The sequence below is a fragment of the Homo sapiens genome, chromosome 19 (assembly GCF_000001405.40).
Source record: "Homo sapiens chromosome 19, GRCh38.p14 Primary Assembly".
NCBI lineage: Eukaryota > Metazoa > Chordata > Mammalia > Primates > Hominidae > Homo > Homo sapiens.
In genome coordinates, this window is record NC_000019.10 from 3,153,884 (window position 1) to 3,169,620 (window position 15,737).

The window sequence follows — 15,737 nt, forward strand, 5'->3', positions numbered from 1 at the left end:
AGTGGATGGGGGTGTGGGTGGGTGGATGGGTAGATGGGTGGACGAGTGAGTGGATAGATGGGTAGATGGATGTATGAGTAGATGGATAATGGGTGAACAGATGGGTGGATGGATAGATGAGTAGATGAAGCGATGGATGGATGGGTGGATTGAGTAAATGGGTGGACAGGCAGGTGGATGATGGATGGATGAATAGATGGGTAGATGGATAGACGGATAGATGGATGGATGAGTGAATGAATAGATGGATGGGTGGATGGATAGATGGATGGATGGGTGGGATGGATGGATGGATGGATGGATGAATGGGTGGATGGATGGGTGGATGAGTGGATGGATGGATGAATGAATGGGTAGATGGGTGGTGGGTGATGGATGGATGGATGAATGGGTGGATGGATGGGTGGATGAGTGGATGGATGGATGAATGAATGGGTAGATGGGTGGTGGGTGACGGATGAATGGATGAATGGGTGGATGGGTGAGTGGATGAATGGATGAGTGGATGGGTGGGAGGGTGGGTGGATGGGTACATGGGTGGATGAGTGAGTGGATAGATGGGTAGATGGATGGATGGGTAGCTGGGTAATGGGTGGACAGATGGGTGGATGGATGGATGGATGAGTAAATGGAGAGATGGATGGGTGGGTCGGTGGGTGGATTTCGTAAATGGGTGGACAGGTGGATGGATGATGGATGGATGGATAGATGGGTAGATGGATAGATGGATGGATGAGTGAATGGCTGGATGGGTGGATGGATGGGTGGGTGGATGGATGATGGATGGATGGATAGATGGGTAGATGGATAGATGGATGGATGAGTGAATGGCTGGATGGGTGGATGGATGAGTGGGTGGGTGGATGGGTGGATGGATGAGTGAATAAATCGATGAATGGGGTGGGTGGGTGGATAAAAGTTTAGGAGTGAAGGTAGAGGCTGGGAAATCATGGGGAAGTCTGGGCCAAGGAAGTGATTTTTAGGTGTGGCCCAGGAGTGAGACGAATGAATGGAGTGAGGGCTCAGAGGACACTGAGACCCGAGATGAGAGGTGATGCCCACAGTTCCCAACTGGTCAGTTGCTGATCCCACTCCCGTCTCAGTCTCCAGAGCCCCCTCTCGACGGCTGCTTACCCTGTCTGGCTCTGGATGTGGGGTTTGAGGGACTCTGAGGATGCATGGGAGGAGTGGGTCTCAGGGATCAGGAGACACATCCAGCAGCTGCAGCCTAACTGCTTCATCATCAGTCCCGGTTTCCCCTCCTGTGCAATGGGGCAAGTCCCTTCTTGCTTGAGGCCCTGGGCCGGGCCCGTCCAAAGCCTCTGTTCTGGGACTTCCTGAGTAACGGTTGCATCCCCAGGGAAATGACGCACAGATGGTTATCAGCGACCCACATTTCTCAGAAGAGAGAGAACAGGAAGGTGGGGGCAGGGTTCAGGCTTTTGTTACGGTGCGTGGGGCTGAGTCACAGATGGAGGGGAGGACGTGTGCTCTGGGAACAGCCCTCATTCCCATCTGTGTGGCCACTGGACATGCCCATGGCCAGCCAGAGCACAGGAGCCCCATAGCACAGATGGGAAAACTGAGTTTTGGAGATGTTTGGCAATTTCCTCCGCCGGGTCGCCCAGCCAGCACCAGGGCACATCTCAGATCTGTCCAACCTGCTCCCCTCTAATATGGGGGTAGAAAGCAGGCAGCCCAGCACAGTAGAAGCTTGGGAAAGTCCCCGCTCCTCCCTGGATCTCAGGCTTCTCATCTGTAAAATGGGCGTAAGACTCATCCTTGCCTCGCGGGAATGACATGGCAAATCCACGAGAGGCTAGCACCTATTCTTGCTGTCGCTATTATGGATCTTGGCATATCCCAGACGTGATGGGGGTTGGGGGTGTCACGGAGCAGGCTCCTGAGCTCTGAAAGGGGGCACCTCGGTTCCCTGTAGGATCGTGGACGTCGGGGGCCAGAAGTCAGAGCGTAAGAAATGGATCCATTGTTTCGAGAACGTGATCGCCCTCATCTACCTGGCCTCACTGAGTGAATACGACCAGTGCCTGGAGGAGAACAACCAGGAGGTGCGCCACCGCCTCCCTCGCCCTGCCCACTTGTTGGCCCAGGGACCCTCACCTGAGCAGGAAGCTCTGGTGCAGAAAGGGAGGGATCCCTGCTCTTGAACGGGCCTGTGTGTGCCCAGCATGGCTATGAACTTGACCCTTCAGCCTTTTGTGGTCAGATTGCAGCAACCCAAGACACAGACCTACAGCATTTGTTTGGTCAGGACCCCAGACACACACACACACACACACACACACACACACACACACACTACAGTGCACACACGCACATACACAATGCATGCACACAAACACGCACAGACACGTGCATAATACATGCACATACACACGTGCACACACGGGACACATGTACACACGCAGTGCACATGCACAACACATGCACACGAACACACATGCACCACACACATGCACACTTGCATGCACTCACGTGCACAATACACGCATATGTACACATGCGCACACACATGAACACACACATGCACACACACAGTACACACATGCACACGCACACACAGGCACACACACGCACACACAGGCACACAGGCACACACATGCGTGCACACACACATGCACGCACACGCACAGGCTGGAGTGCAGTGGCGCGATCTCGGCTCACTGGAAACTCCGCCTCCCGGGTTCACACCATTCTCCTGCCTCAGCCTCCGGAGTAGGTGGGATTACAGGCACCCGCCACCACGCTCGGCTAATTTTTTTTTTGTATTCTTAGAAGAGAGGGGGTTTCACCATGTTAGCCAGGATGGTCTCAATCTCCTGACCTCGTGATCCGCCCGCCTCGGCCTCCCAAAGTGCTGGGATTACAGGCGTGAGCCACTGTGCCCAGCCAATAGCCTCTTTTAATAAGTACACCAGTCGTCTAGGATCAGGGCCCACCCTACTCCAGTACGACCTCATCTGGGTTAATTCCTCGTGTGATGGCCCTGTTTCCAAAGAAGGTCACAAACTGAGGTTCTAGGGGGTTAGGTCTTGAACGTATGAATTTTGGGGAAATATGATGTACCCCATAACACAAGGCATTTGAGACCTTATTGTACTTTTTTTTTTGAGATGGAGTCTCGCTTTTGTCGCCCAGGTTAGAGTGCAGTGGCGCGATCTCAGCTCACTGCAACCTCCGCCTCCCGGGTTCAAGCGATTTTCCTGCCTCAGCCTCCCGAGTAGCTGGGTTTACAGGCACCTGCCATCATGCCCGGCTAATTTTTTGTATTTTTAGTAGAAACGGGGTTTCACCATGTTAGCCAGGCTGGTCTCCAACTCCTGGCCTCAGGTGATCTGCCCGCCTTGGCCTCCCAAAGTGCTAGGATTACAGCCGTGAGCTGCCGCGCCCGGCCAGGTCTCCCTCTTCTTATGAGGACAGCAGTCACGGACTTGAGGGCCACCGTATTCTAGTATTGCCTCACCTTAACGACCTCTTCAAAGACCCTATCTCCAGGCCAGGTGCAGTGGTTCATGCCTATAACCCCAGCACGCTGGGAGGCCAGGAGTTCAAGAATCTCTCTCCAGATAAGGTCACACTCTGAAGCTCTGGGGGGACATGAATTTCGGGAGGACACACTTCCAACCAGCACAGGCACAAAACCATGTCAGGCACACCCAGGCAGCTGTCCATATGGAAACACGGGCACACCCGCCTCAGCCCCAGCCAGGCAGATAGGGGTGAGCCCATGCCCCTGGAGCCAACAGCCCCGTCTCCGCGATGGGAGGGTTTCCTGTCCCACCTGGCTGGTTGAAGCACTAACCTGCTTCTGCCCCCAACACAGAACCGCATGAAGGAGAGCCTCGCATTGTTTGGGACTATCCTGGAACTACCCTGGTTCAAAAGCACATCCGTCATCCTCTTTCTCAACAAAACCGACATCCTGGAGGAGAAAATCCCCACCTCCCACCTGGCTACCTATTTCCCCAGTTTCCAGGGTAAGTAATTCTAGAACTTTCTATACCCTTCAACTCCCAAAAGCAGCTCCGAAGAGAGATGCTAATCCAGACTCTACTTCAGCCTGGAGTCACCGGAACTTTCACATAGGATCAGACCCGCGTTCTAGACTCAGCTCCATCCACTGCCCGACCTCATTGAATCTGTTTTCCCTTCTGTGGAATGGAATAAAATAGCAGAGGCCCTTGGAACTGAGTAAAGTGAGGAATTCTAAAAACACGTAGCATATCACGTACACCTTAAACATTTTATTTATTTATTTATTTTTGAGACAGAGTCTTGCTCTGTCACCAGGCTGGAGTGCAGTGGCGTGATCTCGGCTCACTGCAACCTTTCCCTCCAGAGTTCAAGCGATTCTCCTACCTCAGCCTCCCTAGTAGCTGGAACTACAGGTGCGCGCCACCACGCCCAGCTAATTTTTGTGTTTTTAGTACGAAAAGACGGGATTTCACCATGTTGACCAGGATAGTCTCGATCACTTGACCTCCTGATCCACCCGCCTCAGCCTCCCAAAGTGCTAGGATTATAGACAGGAGCCACCATGCCCGGCCAAACATTTTATTTTATGCTTGTTGGCCAACATTTGGGGTTTGAGCCAAGATCCTTCAAGCATGGGTTTGCTATGTAGAGGTCACTGTTGTAAAGCACTTCTGGAAAGATTGTCTACTATTTCCAGAATCTGCCTAGGTTTTAAGAATGATTCTTTTTCTTTTCTTTCTTTCTTCTATTTTTTCTTTTTGAGACAGAGTCTCACTCTGTCACCCAGGCTGGAGTACAGTGGTGCGATCTTGGCTCATGGCAACCTCCAACTCCCCGGTTCAAGTGATTCTCCTGCCTTAGCCTCCCAAGTAGCTGTGATTACAGGCACGTGCCACCAAGCCTGGCTAATTTTTAGTAGTTTCCTGTCCTATTTTTAGTAGAGATGGGGTTTCACCATGTTGGTCAGGCTGGTCTCGAACTGACCTCAAGTGATCCACCTACCTCAGCCTCCCAAAGTGCTGGGATTACGGGCGTGAGCCACCGCATCTGGCCATAACGTTTCTTTTTCTAATCTTTCATAGTGATCTCATCTATCCCTAATTGGATAGCAATTTCTTTTTCTTTAATCCATTTTTTCTTTAATTTTTTTTTGTTTGTTTTTTGAGACGGAGTCTCGCTCTGCTGCCCAGGCTGGAGTGCAGTGGCGCAATCTCAGCTCACTGCAAGCTCTGCCTCCTGGGTTCACACCATTCTGCTGCCTCAGCCTCCCGAGTAGCTGGGATTACAGGTGCCCGCCAGAACGTCTGGCTAGTTTTTTGTATTTTTGGTCGAGATGGGGTTTCATCATGTTACCCAGGTTGGTCTCAATCTCCTGACCTCATGATCCACCTGTCTCGGCCTCCCAAAGTGCTGGGATTACAGGCGTGAGCCATCGTGCCCAGTCTATTTTTTCTTTAATTTCTTTTCTTTTTTTTTTTTTTTTTGAGATGGAGTTTTGCTCTTTTTGCCCAGGCTGGAGTGCAATGGCACAATCTCGGCTCACCGCAACCTCCGCCTCCCGGGTTCAAGGGATTCTCCTGCCTCAGCCTCCCGAGTAGCTGGGATTGCAGGCATGAGCCACCACCCCGGCTAATTTTGTGTTTTTAGTAGAGACGGGGTTTCTCCATGTTGGTCAGGCTGGACTTGAACTCCCGACCTCAGGTGATCCACCCGCCTCGGCCTCAAAGTGCTGGGATTACAGGCGTGAGCCACCACACCTGGCCTTTCTCTTTAATTTTTAAAGCAGAGCTTTGAACAATGTTTCCAAAGCACACAGCTTAGTTTTGTAATACAATGACCTTCTTTCATGCGGCACTTGTAGCTACAGATTTGCATAACGTTTCTTTTAATTACATATGAATCAAGACACGTACAATGGGCAAAAACAGGTTTGGGAACAAACTCTCAGTCCATCCAGAGGGTGAAAGGGCCACAGGGCAACTACAGAGAAACACCATCTAGTGTTGGGCACCACTTAGTATATTTTACAAAGGGGAGGCAGAGTTGTGGTTAATCCAGGGACCAACGTGGGGAAGGTACATATTCACTAGCACTTTCCCCAGAACACCACTGTGAGGATAAAGTGTGGTGGCGGGTGTCCTGCTTAGCTACTGCCGAGTAACAAACCATCCCCAAACTTAGTGACTTAAACTGGTCATTTTCCTTTGCTTATGATTTTGTGGGTCAGGAATTTGGGAAAGGTTGAGCTGGGTAAGTTCATCTCTGATCCATGTGACATCAGCTGGGCTCTATGGGATTGGAGATAAACTTCCAAGATGGCTTCTTCCCCCATATGTCTGGTGCCTTGGTGCTCTTGGCACTCTTGGCCTCTCTCTCTGTGTCTCTCCCTGCCTCCCTCTCCCATCTCATCTCTCTCTCCTCCCCTTTCTCCTAGTCTGTCTCTCCTTTTCCACCTCCCCTGTTCTCTCTGTCTCCATCTGGGGCCTCATGATCCACAGCCTCTTCACATGGTTTGAGCTTACTCACAATATGGCTGCCTCAGGGTAGACAGACTTCAGCCCAGGTGGAAGCTGCTTCTCATGATAGCCTCAGAAATGTCAGACGTTACTCTGCCACATTCTATTTGTCAAGCACATCACTCATATCAGCCCGGATTCAAAAGAAAGAGACTCCATCTCTTGAAGGCAGCATGACACATGCATACAGGGAGGGAAGGAAGTGACGGCAGCCATCTTGGAGATAACTTGCCTTCATGTCCTGGGGATGCCGTAACAAAGTACCACAAACTGGGTGGCTTAAAACAACAGGAAACAACAGAAGTCCAAAGTTAAGGTATTGGCAAGGTTGGTTCCTTTTGGAGGCTCTAAGGGAAAATCCATTCCATGCTTCTCTCTCAGCTTCTGGTGGTGGCCTACAATCCTTAGCTTGTAGACATATCACTGCAATCTCTGCCTCCATGTTCACATGGCTGTCTTCTCACCATGCCTTTATGTGTCCTCTCCTGTTGTTATAAGGCCACCAGTCATTGGATTTAGGGCCCATACTTTGGTATGACCACTTTTTTTTTTTTTTTTTTTTTTTGAGACAAGGTCTTGCTCTGTTGCCCAGGCTAGAGTCCAGTGGTGTGATCACAGTTCACTGCAGCCTCAACCTCCTGGGCACAGGTGATCCTCCCACCTCAGCCTCTTGAGTTGCTGGGACTACAGGCGCACACCACCACACCTGGGTAATTTTTGTATATTTCTGTAGAGACAGGGTTTCGCCATGTTGCCCAGGCTGATCTGGAACTCCTGGGCCCAACCACACATCTGTCATCCACCTGCCTTGGCCTTCCAAAGTGCTAGGATTACAGGCGTGAGCCCTCATGCCTGGCCATGACCTAATTTAACTTAACTAATTACATCTGCAAATATCCGATTTCTAAAAGTCATATTCTGAAGTTCCAGGTGGACATGAATTTTGGGGGACACTGTTCACCTCAATATACAAGCAACCATAGTAGATGAGTCCTTAGTACATGCTTGACACCAGGTCCACAATCAGTAAACATAAACTTTGGTGAAGTCACCAGGTTTTGATCCCTGGTCTTGTCATGTCTCAGAGCCCATGAGGCCAATTTTAGCCAATTATACCCACAAGATTCAGGGTCTGGGAGATAGACGTCAAGTTGTTCCAGGATGGTGGCCTGGATAGCCCCTCTTCCTTGCCAAGCAGCCCTGGGAATCAGCTCATAGTTTAGAGAATTTGGGAACAGGATAAGGTAGATATTTTTTTCATTCAGGTCAAAGGGAACCACCCATGACTCATCCTTGTCTCCCAGCACAAGTGACTGGTGCACTCTTTGCTGACTCCCAGCCCTACCCTCCACTGTGCTAAATAATATTTGTGATAATAATAAGAAACCACACTTTGGGAGGCTGAGGCGCGCAGATCGCTTTAGGTCAGGAGTTTGAGACCAGCCTGGCCAACATGGCAAAGCCCCATCTCTGTTAAAAATACAAAAATTAGCTGGGTGTGGTGGCGGGGGCCTGTCATCCCAGTTACTCGGGAGGCTGAGGCAGGAGAATCGCTTGAACCCAGGAGGTGGAGGTTGCAGTGAGCTGAGATCATGCCACTTCACTCCAACCTGGGTGACAGAGTGAGACTCTGTCTCAAAATAATAATAATAATAATAATGATAATAATAATAAAATTGATAACAGCAGCTAACACATCTACCGCACTGGTGGAAGCACTCTACAAAGCTTCTTTAATCTTCATGTTAAAACCCTATGCAGGGCTGGGCACAGTGGCTCACGCCTGTAATCCCAGCGCTTTGGGGGGGTCAAGGCGGGCTGATCATTTGAGGTCAGGAGTTCGAGACCAGCCTGGCCAACATGGCAAAACCCCATCTCTACTAAAAATACAAAAATTACCTGGGCATGGTGGCAGGCGCCTGTAATCCCAGCTACTGCCAAGATTGCACCATTGCACTCCAGCCTGGGCGACAGAGCGAGGCCCCATCTCAAGAAAAAAAAAAAGAGGACTCTCTTCCCCTCGTTTGGCCTTGATGCCGCCATCTTCACAGTCCTGGGATATTTGTCTATGCGATTCCAGTCTTCCAACTGCACTGGCTGTAAGCGAGGCCAAGAGAGTGTCTCTCTTTAACACAGTTCTGCCCGAAGTCCCAGAGCTGGGTCTCATTGGTCCATTTCAGGTCACATGACTCGTGTGAGACAATCTCCTGTGTTCCCATTGGCTGGGCCGGAGTCGTGTGACCAGCTATGACTACAAAAGATGGAGTCAACGCACAGAAAAATGACAGGCGCGATCCCTGGGTCCCTTCAGTGCTGGTTACAGGGAAGAGGGTCTCCAGAGGCCCCCTGGGTCCAAAGAGGGAGGGTCCTCACCCCCTTCCCACACTGTTTCCCCAGGCCCTAAGCAGGATGCTGAGGCAGCCAAGAGGTTCATCCTGGACATGTACACGAGGATGTACACCGGGTGCGTGGACGGCCCCGAGGGCAGCAAGAAGGGCGCACGATCCCGACGCCTCTTCAGCCACTACACATGTGCCACAGACACACAGAACATCCGCAAGGTCTTCAAGGACGTGCGGGACTCGGTGCTCGCCCGCTACCTGGACGAGATCAACCTGCTGTGACCCAGGCCCCACCTGGGGCAGGCGGCACCGGCGGGCGGGTGGGAGGTGGGAGTGGCTGCAGGGACCCCTAGTGTCCCTGGTCTATCTCTCCAGCCTCGGCCCACACGCAAGGGAGTCGGGGGACGGACGGCCCGCTGCTGGCCGCTCTCTTCTCTGCCTCTCACCAGGACAGCCGCCCCCCAGGGTACTCCTGCCCTTGCTTGACTCAGTTTCCCTCCTTTGAAAGGGAAGGAGCAAAACGGCCATTTGGGATGCCAGGGTGGATGAAAAGGTGAAGAAATCAGGGGATTGAGGACTTGGGTGGGTGGGCATCTCTCAGGAGCCCCATCTCCGGGCGTGTCACCTCCTGGGCAGGGTTCTGGGACCCTCTGTGGGTGACGCACACCCTGGGATGGGGCTAGTAGAGCCTTCAGGCGCCTTCGGGCGTGGACTCTGGCGCACTCTAGTGGACAGGAGAAGGAACGCCTTCCAGGAACCTGTGGACTAGGGGTGCAGGGACTTCCCTTTGCAAGGGGTAACAGACCGCTGGAAAACACTGTCACTTTCAGAGCTCGGTGGCTCACAGCGTGTCCTGCCCCGGTTTGCGGACGAGAGAAATCGCGGCCCACAAGCATCCCCCCATCCCTTGCAGGCTGGGGGCTGGGCATGCTGCATCTTAACCTTTTGTATTTATTCCCTCACCTTCTGCAGGGCTCCGTGCGGGCTGAAATTAAAGATTTCTTAGAGGCTGCGTCGCCAGCGTCCTGTTTATCCCCTCTGCATTCCTTTCTCGGCTTACGTGTCCCGGGGGCAGTGCTTACAGTGCGGGGAGCAACGTGGAGTAGGAAGGAAAAAAGTTATACTTCTTGTCTACCCACCTGTCCTGGCCATGGTACCCAGAACTGTGGAGGCTGTGAGTCCCGCAAGCCGGGACGTGGAGTCCAACCTCCCTCCCAGGCTGGGGGGGACATTGAAGCAGACTCCTCCGTGGCTACTGACCTGAAATTCCAGTAGCAGCCCCCACCCAGCTTTGAGAAGGCCTCTTACTATCCTCAGGGCAGTGTTCTGGGGTGCAAGCCGTAGCACCCCACTTTACAGGTGAGGAAACCGGGGCGCAGAGAAGTGGAGTAATTTGACTAAGCTCACACACCTGGAATTGACAGAGGCAGGAGCCTGTTCCTACGTTGAACACATTTGTGGTTTTTTATTTGTTTGTTTTTTGAGACAATCTCACTTGGTTGCCCAGGCTGGAGTGCAGTGGTGCGATCTCGGTTCACTGCAGCCTCTGCCTCCTGGGTTCAAGTGATTCTCATGCCTCAGCCTCTGCAGTAGCTGAGATTACAGGCACCCGCCACCACACCTGGCTACTTTTTTTTTTTTTGATGGAGTCCCGCTCTGTGGCCCAGGCTGGAGTGCAGTGGCGCAATCTCGTCTCACTGCAACCTCCACCTCCCAGGTTCAAGTGATTCTCCTGCCTCAGCCTCCTGAGTAGCTTGGACTACAGTTGTGTGCCATCACACCTGGCCATATTTTTGTATTTTTAGTAGAGACAGGGTTTCACCATGTTGGCCAAACTGGTCTCAAACTCCTGACCTCAAGTGATCCGCCTCCCTCGACCTCCCAAAGTGCTGGGATTACAGGCATGAGCCACCACACCTGGCCTAATTTTTCTTCTTATAAAAACACTAGTCACACTGGATCAGGGTCCAGCCTGTCATCCCCATCTTAACTTGATTACATCGGCAAAGACCGTATTTCTAAATAAGGTCCCATTCACAGATACCGGGGGTTATGACTTCATCATATCTTTGTAGGGGAGCCACATTTGAACCTATAAAAGGTATTTTGTAATACAAAAAGGAGCCGGGCGTGGTGGTGCATGCTTGCAATCCCAGCTAATTGGGAGGCTGAAGCATGAGAGTTGCTTGAACCCGGGAGGCGGAGGTTGCGGTGAGCCAAGATCCTGCCACTGCACTCTAGCCTGAGCGACAGAGTGAGACCTTGTCTCAAATAATAAATAAATAAATACATAAATAAATAAATAAATATAAAAGTATGTTATAGAAACCCTCTCCACTGAGTTTGGTCTGACATTTTGCTGCTGGTCAGACTGGGGTGATGGGTTTCAGGGAGGAAGACCTCAGTGGTGACAGCCCTTCTCACCACATCCTATCTTTCTGTTTTTTTTTTGAGACGGAGTCTCACTCTGTCACCCAGGCTGGAAGTGCAGTGGTGTGATCTCGGCTCACTGCAAGCTCCGCCTCCCAGGTTCACACCATTCTCCTGCCTCAGCCTCCCGAGTAGCTGGGATTACAGGCGCCCGCCACCACGCCTGGCTAATTTTTTGTATTTTTAGTAGAGACGGGCTTTCACCGTGTTAGCCAGGATGGTCTCAATCTCCTGACCTTGTGATCCGCCCGCCTCGGCCTCCCGAAGTGCTGGGATTACAGGTGTGAGCCACCGCGCTCTGCCTCTTGTTGTTGTTTTGTAAGAATTTTAGACTCACAGAAAAGTTGCAGAAGTTGTACACAGTTCCCAAATGCCCTCCACCCAGCTTCCTCTTACCTCTTACGTAACCCTAGTACAACCCAGGAAATTCACATCAGCGAGCGTCCTATGAACGAACCTGTGTGTAGACCTTACTAGAATGTGGCGGGTTCTCGCTCCCGTCCTCCTTTCCTGGACCAGGATCCAATCCCGGATCCCACATCGCCATGAGCTGCCTCCCTCTCCTCATTCTGGGGCAGTGCCTCAGTTTCCTTTGTGACACGTCGGAGGAGTTTTGCTTGGTTGTTTCTTGAGCCGTTCCTCAGGTTGGGTTGGTGTGAGGTTTGCTGGTGACAGAAAGGGATGTCAGAGCCACTCAGGGCATCACCTGACTGGGTTCATCATGACAAAGTGGCTCATCCCTGGCGATCATACGTTGCGGATGTCTTTTCACCATTGGTTGGTCGGAGTCAGGACCCAAACAAAGCCCGTGCGTGGCGCTTGGGTGCTGTGTCTCTTAAGTCTCTTTCCTCTTTTTTTTTTTTTGAGACGGAGTCTTGCTCTGTCACCCAGGCTGGAGTGCAGTGATGCGATCTCGGCTCACTACAAGCTCTGCCTCCCGGGTTCATGCCATTCTCCTGCCTCAGCCTCCTGAGTAGCTGGGACTACAAGTACCCGCCACCACGCCCGGGTAATTTTTTGTATTTTTTAGTAGAGACGGGGTTTCACTGTATTAGCCAGGATGGTCGCGATCTCCTGAACTCGTGATCCAACCGCCTTGGCCTCCCAGAGTGCTGGAATTACAGGCGTCAGCCACCGCGCCCAGCCTCCTCTTTTTTTTTTTTTTTTTTGAGACAGAGTTTTACTCTTGTCACCCAGGCTGGAGTGCAGTGGTGTGATCTCAGCTCACTGCAACCTGCACCTCCTGGGTTCAAGCGATTCTCTTGCCTCAGCCTCCTGAGTAGCTGAGATTACAGGCATGCGCTACCACACCTAGGTAATTTTTATATTTTTAGTAGAGACGGAGTTTTGCCATGTTGGCCAGGCTGGTATCGAACTCCTGACCTCAGGTGATCCTCCCGCCTCGACCTCCCAAAGTGCTGGGATTACAGGCGTGAGCCACTGTGCCCAGCCATGACCCAGTGGGTCTTAAGAGTTTTTTGACTGGGCACAGCGAGATGCTTTTAACTCATCCTTTACTTTGTCAGCTTCAGATCTGCACTGGATCGTTTCTCCAAGGAGCCCTCTTTCCTTTGAATGGGAGATGATATTTAGAGACCACAATCTGAGCACCAAGTGAGGAAACACATCTTGTCTTTTTTTTTATTATTATACTTTAAGTTCTAGGGTACATGTGCACAACTGTGCTGGTTTATTACATAGGTATACATGTGCTGTGTTGGTTTACTGCACCCATTAACTCGTCATTTACATTAGGTATTTCTCCTAATGCTATCCCTCCCCCCTCCCCTCACCCCACGACAGGCCCCGGTGTGTGATGTTCCCCACCCTGTGTCCACGTGTTCTCATTGTTCAGTTCCCACCTATGAGTGAGAACATGCGGTGTTTGGTTTGCTGTCCTTGTGATGGTTTGCTCAGAATGATGGTTTCCAGCTTCATCCATGTCACTACAAAGGACATGAACTCATCCTTTTTTATGGCTGCATAGTATTCTGTGGTGTATATGTGCCATATTTTCTTTTTCTTTTTTTTTGAGACGGAGTCTCACTCTGTCACCCAGGCTGGAGTGCAGTGGTGCAATCTGGGCTCACTGCAAGCTCCGCCTCCCGGATTCATGCCATTCTCCTGCCTCAGCCTCCTGAGTAGCTGGGATTACAGGCGCCCACCAGCAAGCCCGGCTAATTTTTTGTATTTTTAGTAGAGACGGGGTTTCACCGTGTCAGCCAGGATGGTCTCGATCTCCTGACCTTGTGATCTGCCCGCCTCAGCCTCCCAAAGTGCTGGGATTACAGGCGTGAGCCATCACGCCCGGCCTGTGCCACATTTTCTTAATCCAGTCTATCATTGATGGACATTTGGGTTGGTTCCAAGTCTTTGCGGAAACACATCTTTTGTTCGCTTATTTTTAGTGCAAAAATATTTGAAACCTACAGAAGTTACAAAACCATTACAATGTATTCCCCTGTATTTTTCATCCAGGTCAGGAGCCGGCAAACTGCTACCCACAGGCCAAATACTACTTCAATTGCTTTTGTAAAGTTTTATTGAAACACGGTCATGTCCATTCATGTACCTGTGTCTACGCAGGCTGTTCCTGCATCCATGGAATTGAGTAACTGCCACTGATACTGTCTGGCCCCAAAAGCCAAAAATATTTACTATTTGGCCTTTTTGTTTTGTTTTGTTTGTTTTTTACTCCCCTTAAAGACAAGGTCTTGCTCCGTCACCCAGGCTGGTGTGCAGTGGTGCAACCTCAGCTCACTGCTGCCTCCAACTCCTGGGCTGAAGGGTTCCTCCTGCCTCAGCCTCCCCGGGGATTCCAGGCATAAGCCCCTGTGTCCGGCCAGGTGTGAGTTTTCGAGTGGACATGCTTGCATTCCTCTTGAGTGTGACCCTAGCGACAGAATTGCTGGGTCATGTGCTGAGGTCATCCATCCATTTCTAACCCAGGGTTGGCCGGCAGCAGCCCCTCCGAGCTGGCTCCTGTGTTCTTTGCCAGGTCCTCCTCCCTCTGTGATCACGCCCTCCCTCTCTGGCACACTGAGATGTTCCAGGCTCATCTCCTGCCCTACTCTTGGAATCAACCCTTCCTCCCAGGTTCCCTGGATCCTTTCAGCAAGGGGCTGTAGGGGGAGGGAGGTGATCTTTAGAAGCCACGATCTGGGCACTAGGTGCTCCTTGCTCTGGGATTGTCTCAGTGGAAAGTTAGGACAGGGTTTTTTTATGTTTTTTGCATAAATCATGAGATCCTGAATTCACACTGATATTTGCAATCCTTTCTTTTTTTTTTTTTTTGAGACAGAGTCTTGCTCTGTCACTGAGGCTAGAGTGCAGCAGCACGATCTCGACTCACTGCAACCTCCACCTCCTCGGTTCAAGCGATTCTCCTGCCTCAGCCTCCCAAGTAGCTGGGATTACAGGTAGTCACCACCGTGCCTGGCTAATTTTTGTATTTATTTATTTATTTATTATTTTTTTTTTCTGAGACAGAGTCTCGCTCTGTCACCCAGGCTGGAGTGCAGTGCCACAATCTCGGCTCACTGCAACCTCCACCTCCCGGGTTCAAGCAATTCTCCTGCCTCAGCCTCCTGAGTATCTGGGATTACAGCAGTGCACCACCACGCCCAGCTAATTTTTTGTATTTTTAGTAGAGACGGAGTTTCACTGTAGTGGCCAGGATGGTCTTGATCTCCGGACCTCGTGATCTGCCCACCTCGGCCTCCCAAAGTGCTGGGATTACAGGCATGAGCCACCGTCCCCGGTCTAATTTTTGTATTTTTAGTAGAGAAAGGGTTTCACCATCCTGGCCAGGCTAGTCTTGAAATCCTGACCTCGTGATCCACCCGCCTTGGCCTCCCAAAGTGCTGGGGTTACAGGCGTCAGCCACCGTGCCCGGTCCAATTTTTGTATTTTTAGTAGAGACAGGGTTTCACCATCTTGGCCAGGCTAGTCTCGAAATCCTGACCTCATGATCCACCCGCCTTGGCCTCCCAAAGTGCTGGGGTTACAGGCATGAGCCACCATGCCAGGCCTTTTTTTTTTTTTTTTTAAGAGACGGGATCTCTCTCCATCACCCAGGCTGGAGTGCAGAGGAGCAATGATGGCTTACCACGGCCTCAACCTTTCAGGCTCAAGCAATCCTCCCATGTCAGCCTCCTAAGTAGCTAGGACCACAGGTGCATGCCATCACACCCATGTTATTTCATTTTTATTTTTTGTAGAAATGGGGTCTTGCCGTGTTGCACAGGCTGGGAAACTTGAAGTCCTATTTAACCCTGCAAGGGTTCTTTCTTGCTTTCTCCCAGGTCATATTTACATCTTTCTCTCCCAGCAAAGACCCTAGTTCCTAATAATATCTTTGTATTTGCTACTTTGCTCAGTCCTGTAAAACACATGATAGTTTCAAAATTGCTCCACCCATACGTTCCCCAATGACAAATCCGCTAAATAAAGG

General features: G+C 51.1%; 1 protein-coding gene and 1 long non-coding RNA gene across 2 annotated transcripts in view, besides 7 other annotated features; one reads left to right on the top strand and one right to left on the bottom strand.

Moving 5' to 3' along the window:
• The window catches only part of GNA15-DT (GNA15 divergent transcript), a 13,600-nt gene extending 12,308 nt beyond the window's left edge, over nucleotides 1–1,292 (bottom strand). Inside the window, exon 1 of the long non-coding RNA NR_110670.1 lies at nucleotides 1,135–1,292. This is a non-coding gene — a long non-coding RNA (GNA15 divergent transcript). The remainder of the gene's footprint in view (nucleotides 1–1,134) is intronic.
• The window catches only part of GNA15 (G protein subunit alpha 15), a 27,717-nt gene extending 17,851 nt beyond the window's left edge, over nucleotides 1–9,866 (top strand). The window contains exons 5-7 of the mRNA NM_002068.4: nucleotides 1,940–2,069; nucleotides 3,845–3,998; nucleotides 8,910–9,866. Coding sequence (NP_002059.3) covers nucleotides 1,940–2,069; nucleotides 3,845–3,998; nucleotides 8,910–9,136 — 511 coding nt within the window. The 3' untranslated portion in view covers nucleotides 9,137–9,866. The remainder of the gene's footprint in view (nucleotides 1–1,939; nucleotides 2,070–3,844; nucleotides 3,999–8,909) is intronic.
• Nucleotides 908–1,865: an enhancer, noted in NCBI's record as "H3K4me1 hESC enhancer chr19:3154789-3155746 (GRCh37/hg19 assembly coordinates)". NCBI's record gives its function as "activates a minimal SCP1, AML or CMV promoter by ChIP-STARR-seq in primed H9 embryonic stem cells {active_cell/tissue: H9 hESC(primed)}" and the evidence as "EXISTENCE:reporter gene assay evidence [ECO:0000049][PMID:30033119]".
• Nucleotides 1,153–1,482: an enhancer, noted in NCBI's record as "active region_13725". NCBI's record gives its function as "activates an Ori minimal core promoter by ATAC-STARR-seq in GM12878 lymphoblastoid cells {active_cell/tissue: GM12878}" and the evidence as "EXISTENCE:reporter gene assay evidence [ECO:0000049][PMID:35858748]".
• Nucleotides 1,523–1,612: an enhancer, noted in NCBI's record as "active region_13726". NCBI's record gives its function as "activates an Ori minimal core promoter by ATAC-STARR-seq in GM12878 lymphoblastoid cells {active_cell/tissue: GM12878}" and the evidence as "EXISTENCE:reporter gene assay evidence [ECO:0000049][PMID:35858748]".
• Nucleotides 8,568–8,862: an enhancer, noted in NCBI's record as "tiled region #13242; HepG2 Activating DNase unmatched - State 10:DNaseD, and K562 Activating DNase matched - State 10:DNaseD". NCBI's record gives its function as "activates a minimal TATA promoter and a strong SV40 promoter by Sharpr-MPRA in HepG2 and K562 cells {active_cell/tissue: HepG2 | K562}" and the evidence as "EXISTENCE:reporter gene assay evidence [ECO:0000049][PMID:27701403]".
• Nucleotides 8,568–9,527: a biological region, named in NCBI's record as "Sharpr-MPRA regulatory region 13242".
• Nucleotides 8,666–9,527: an enhancer, noted in NCBI's record as "H3K4me1 hESC enhancer chr19:3162547-3163408 (GRCh37/hg19 assembly coordinates)". NCBI's record gives its function as "activates a minimal SCP1, AML or CMV promoter by ChIP-STARR-seq in naive H9 embryonic stem cells {active_cell/tissue: H9 hESC(naive)}" and the evidence as "EXISTENCE:reporter gene assay evidence [ECO:0000049][PMID:30033119]".
• Nucleotides 9,528–10,388: an enhancer, noted in NCBI's record as "H3K4me1 hESC enhancer chr19:3163409-3164269 (GRCh37/hg19 assembly coordinates)". NCBI's record gives its function as "activates a minimal SCP1, AML or CMV promoter by ChIP-STARR-seq in naive H9 embryonic stem cells {active_cell/tissue: H9 hESC(naive)}" and the evidence as "EXISTENCE:reporter gene assay evidence [ECO:0000049][PMID:30033119]".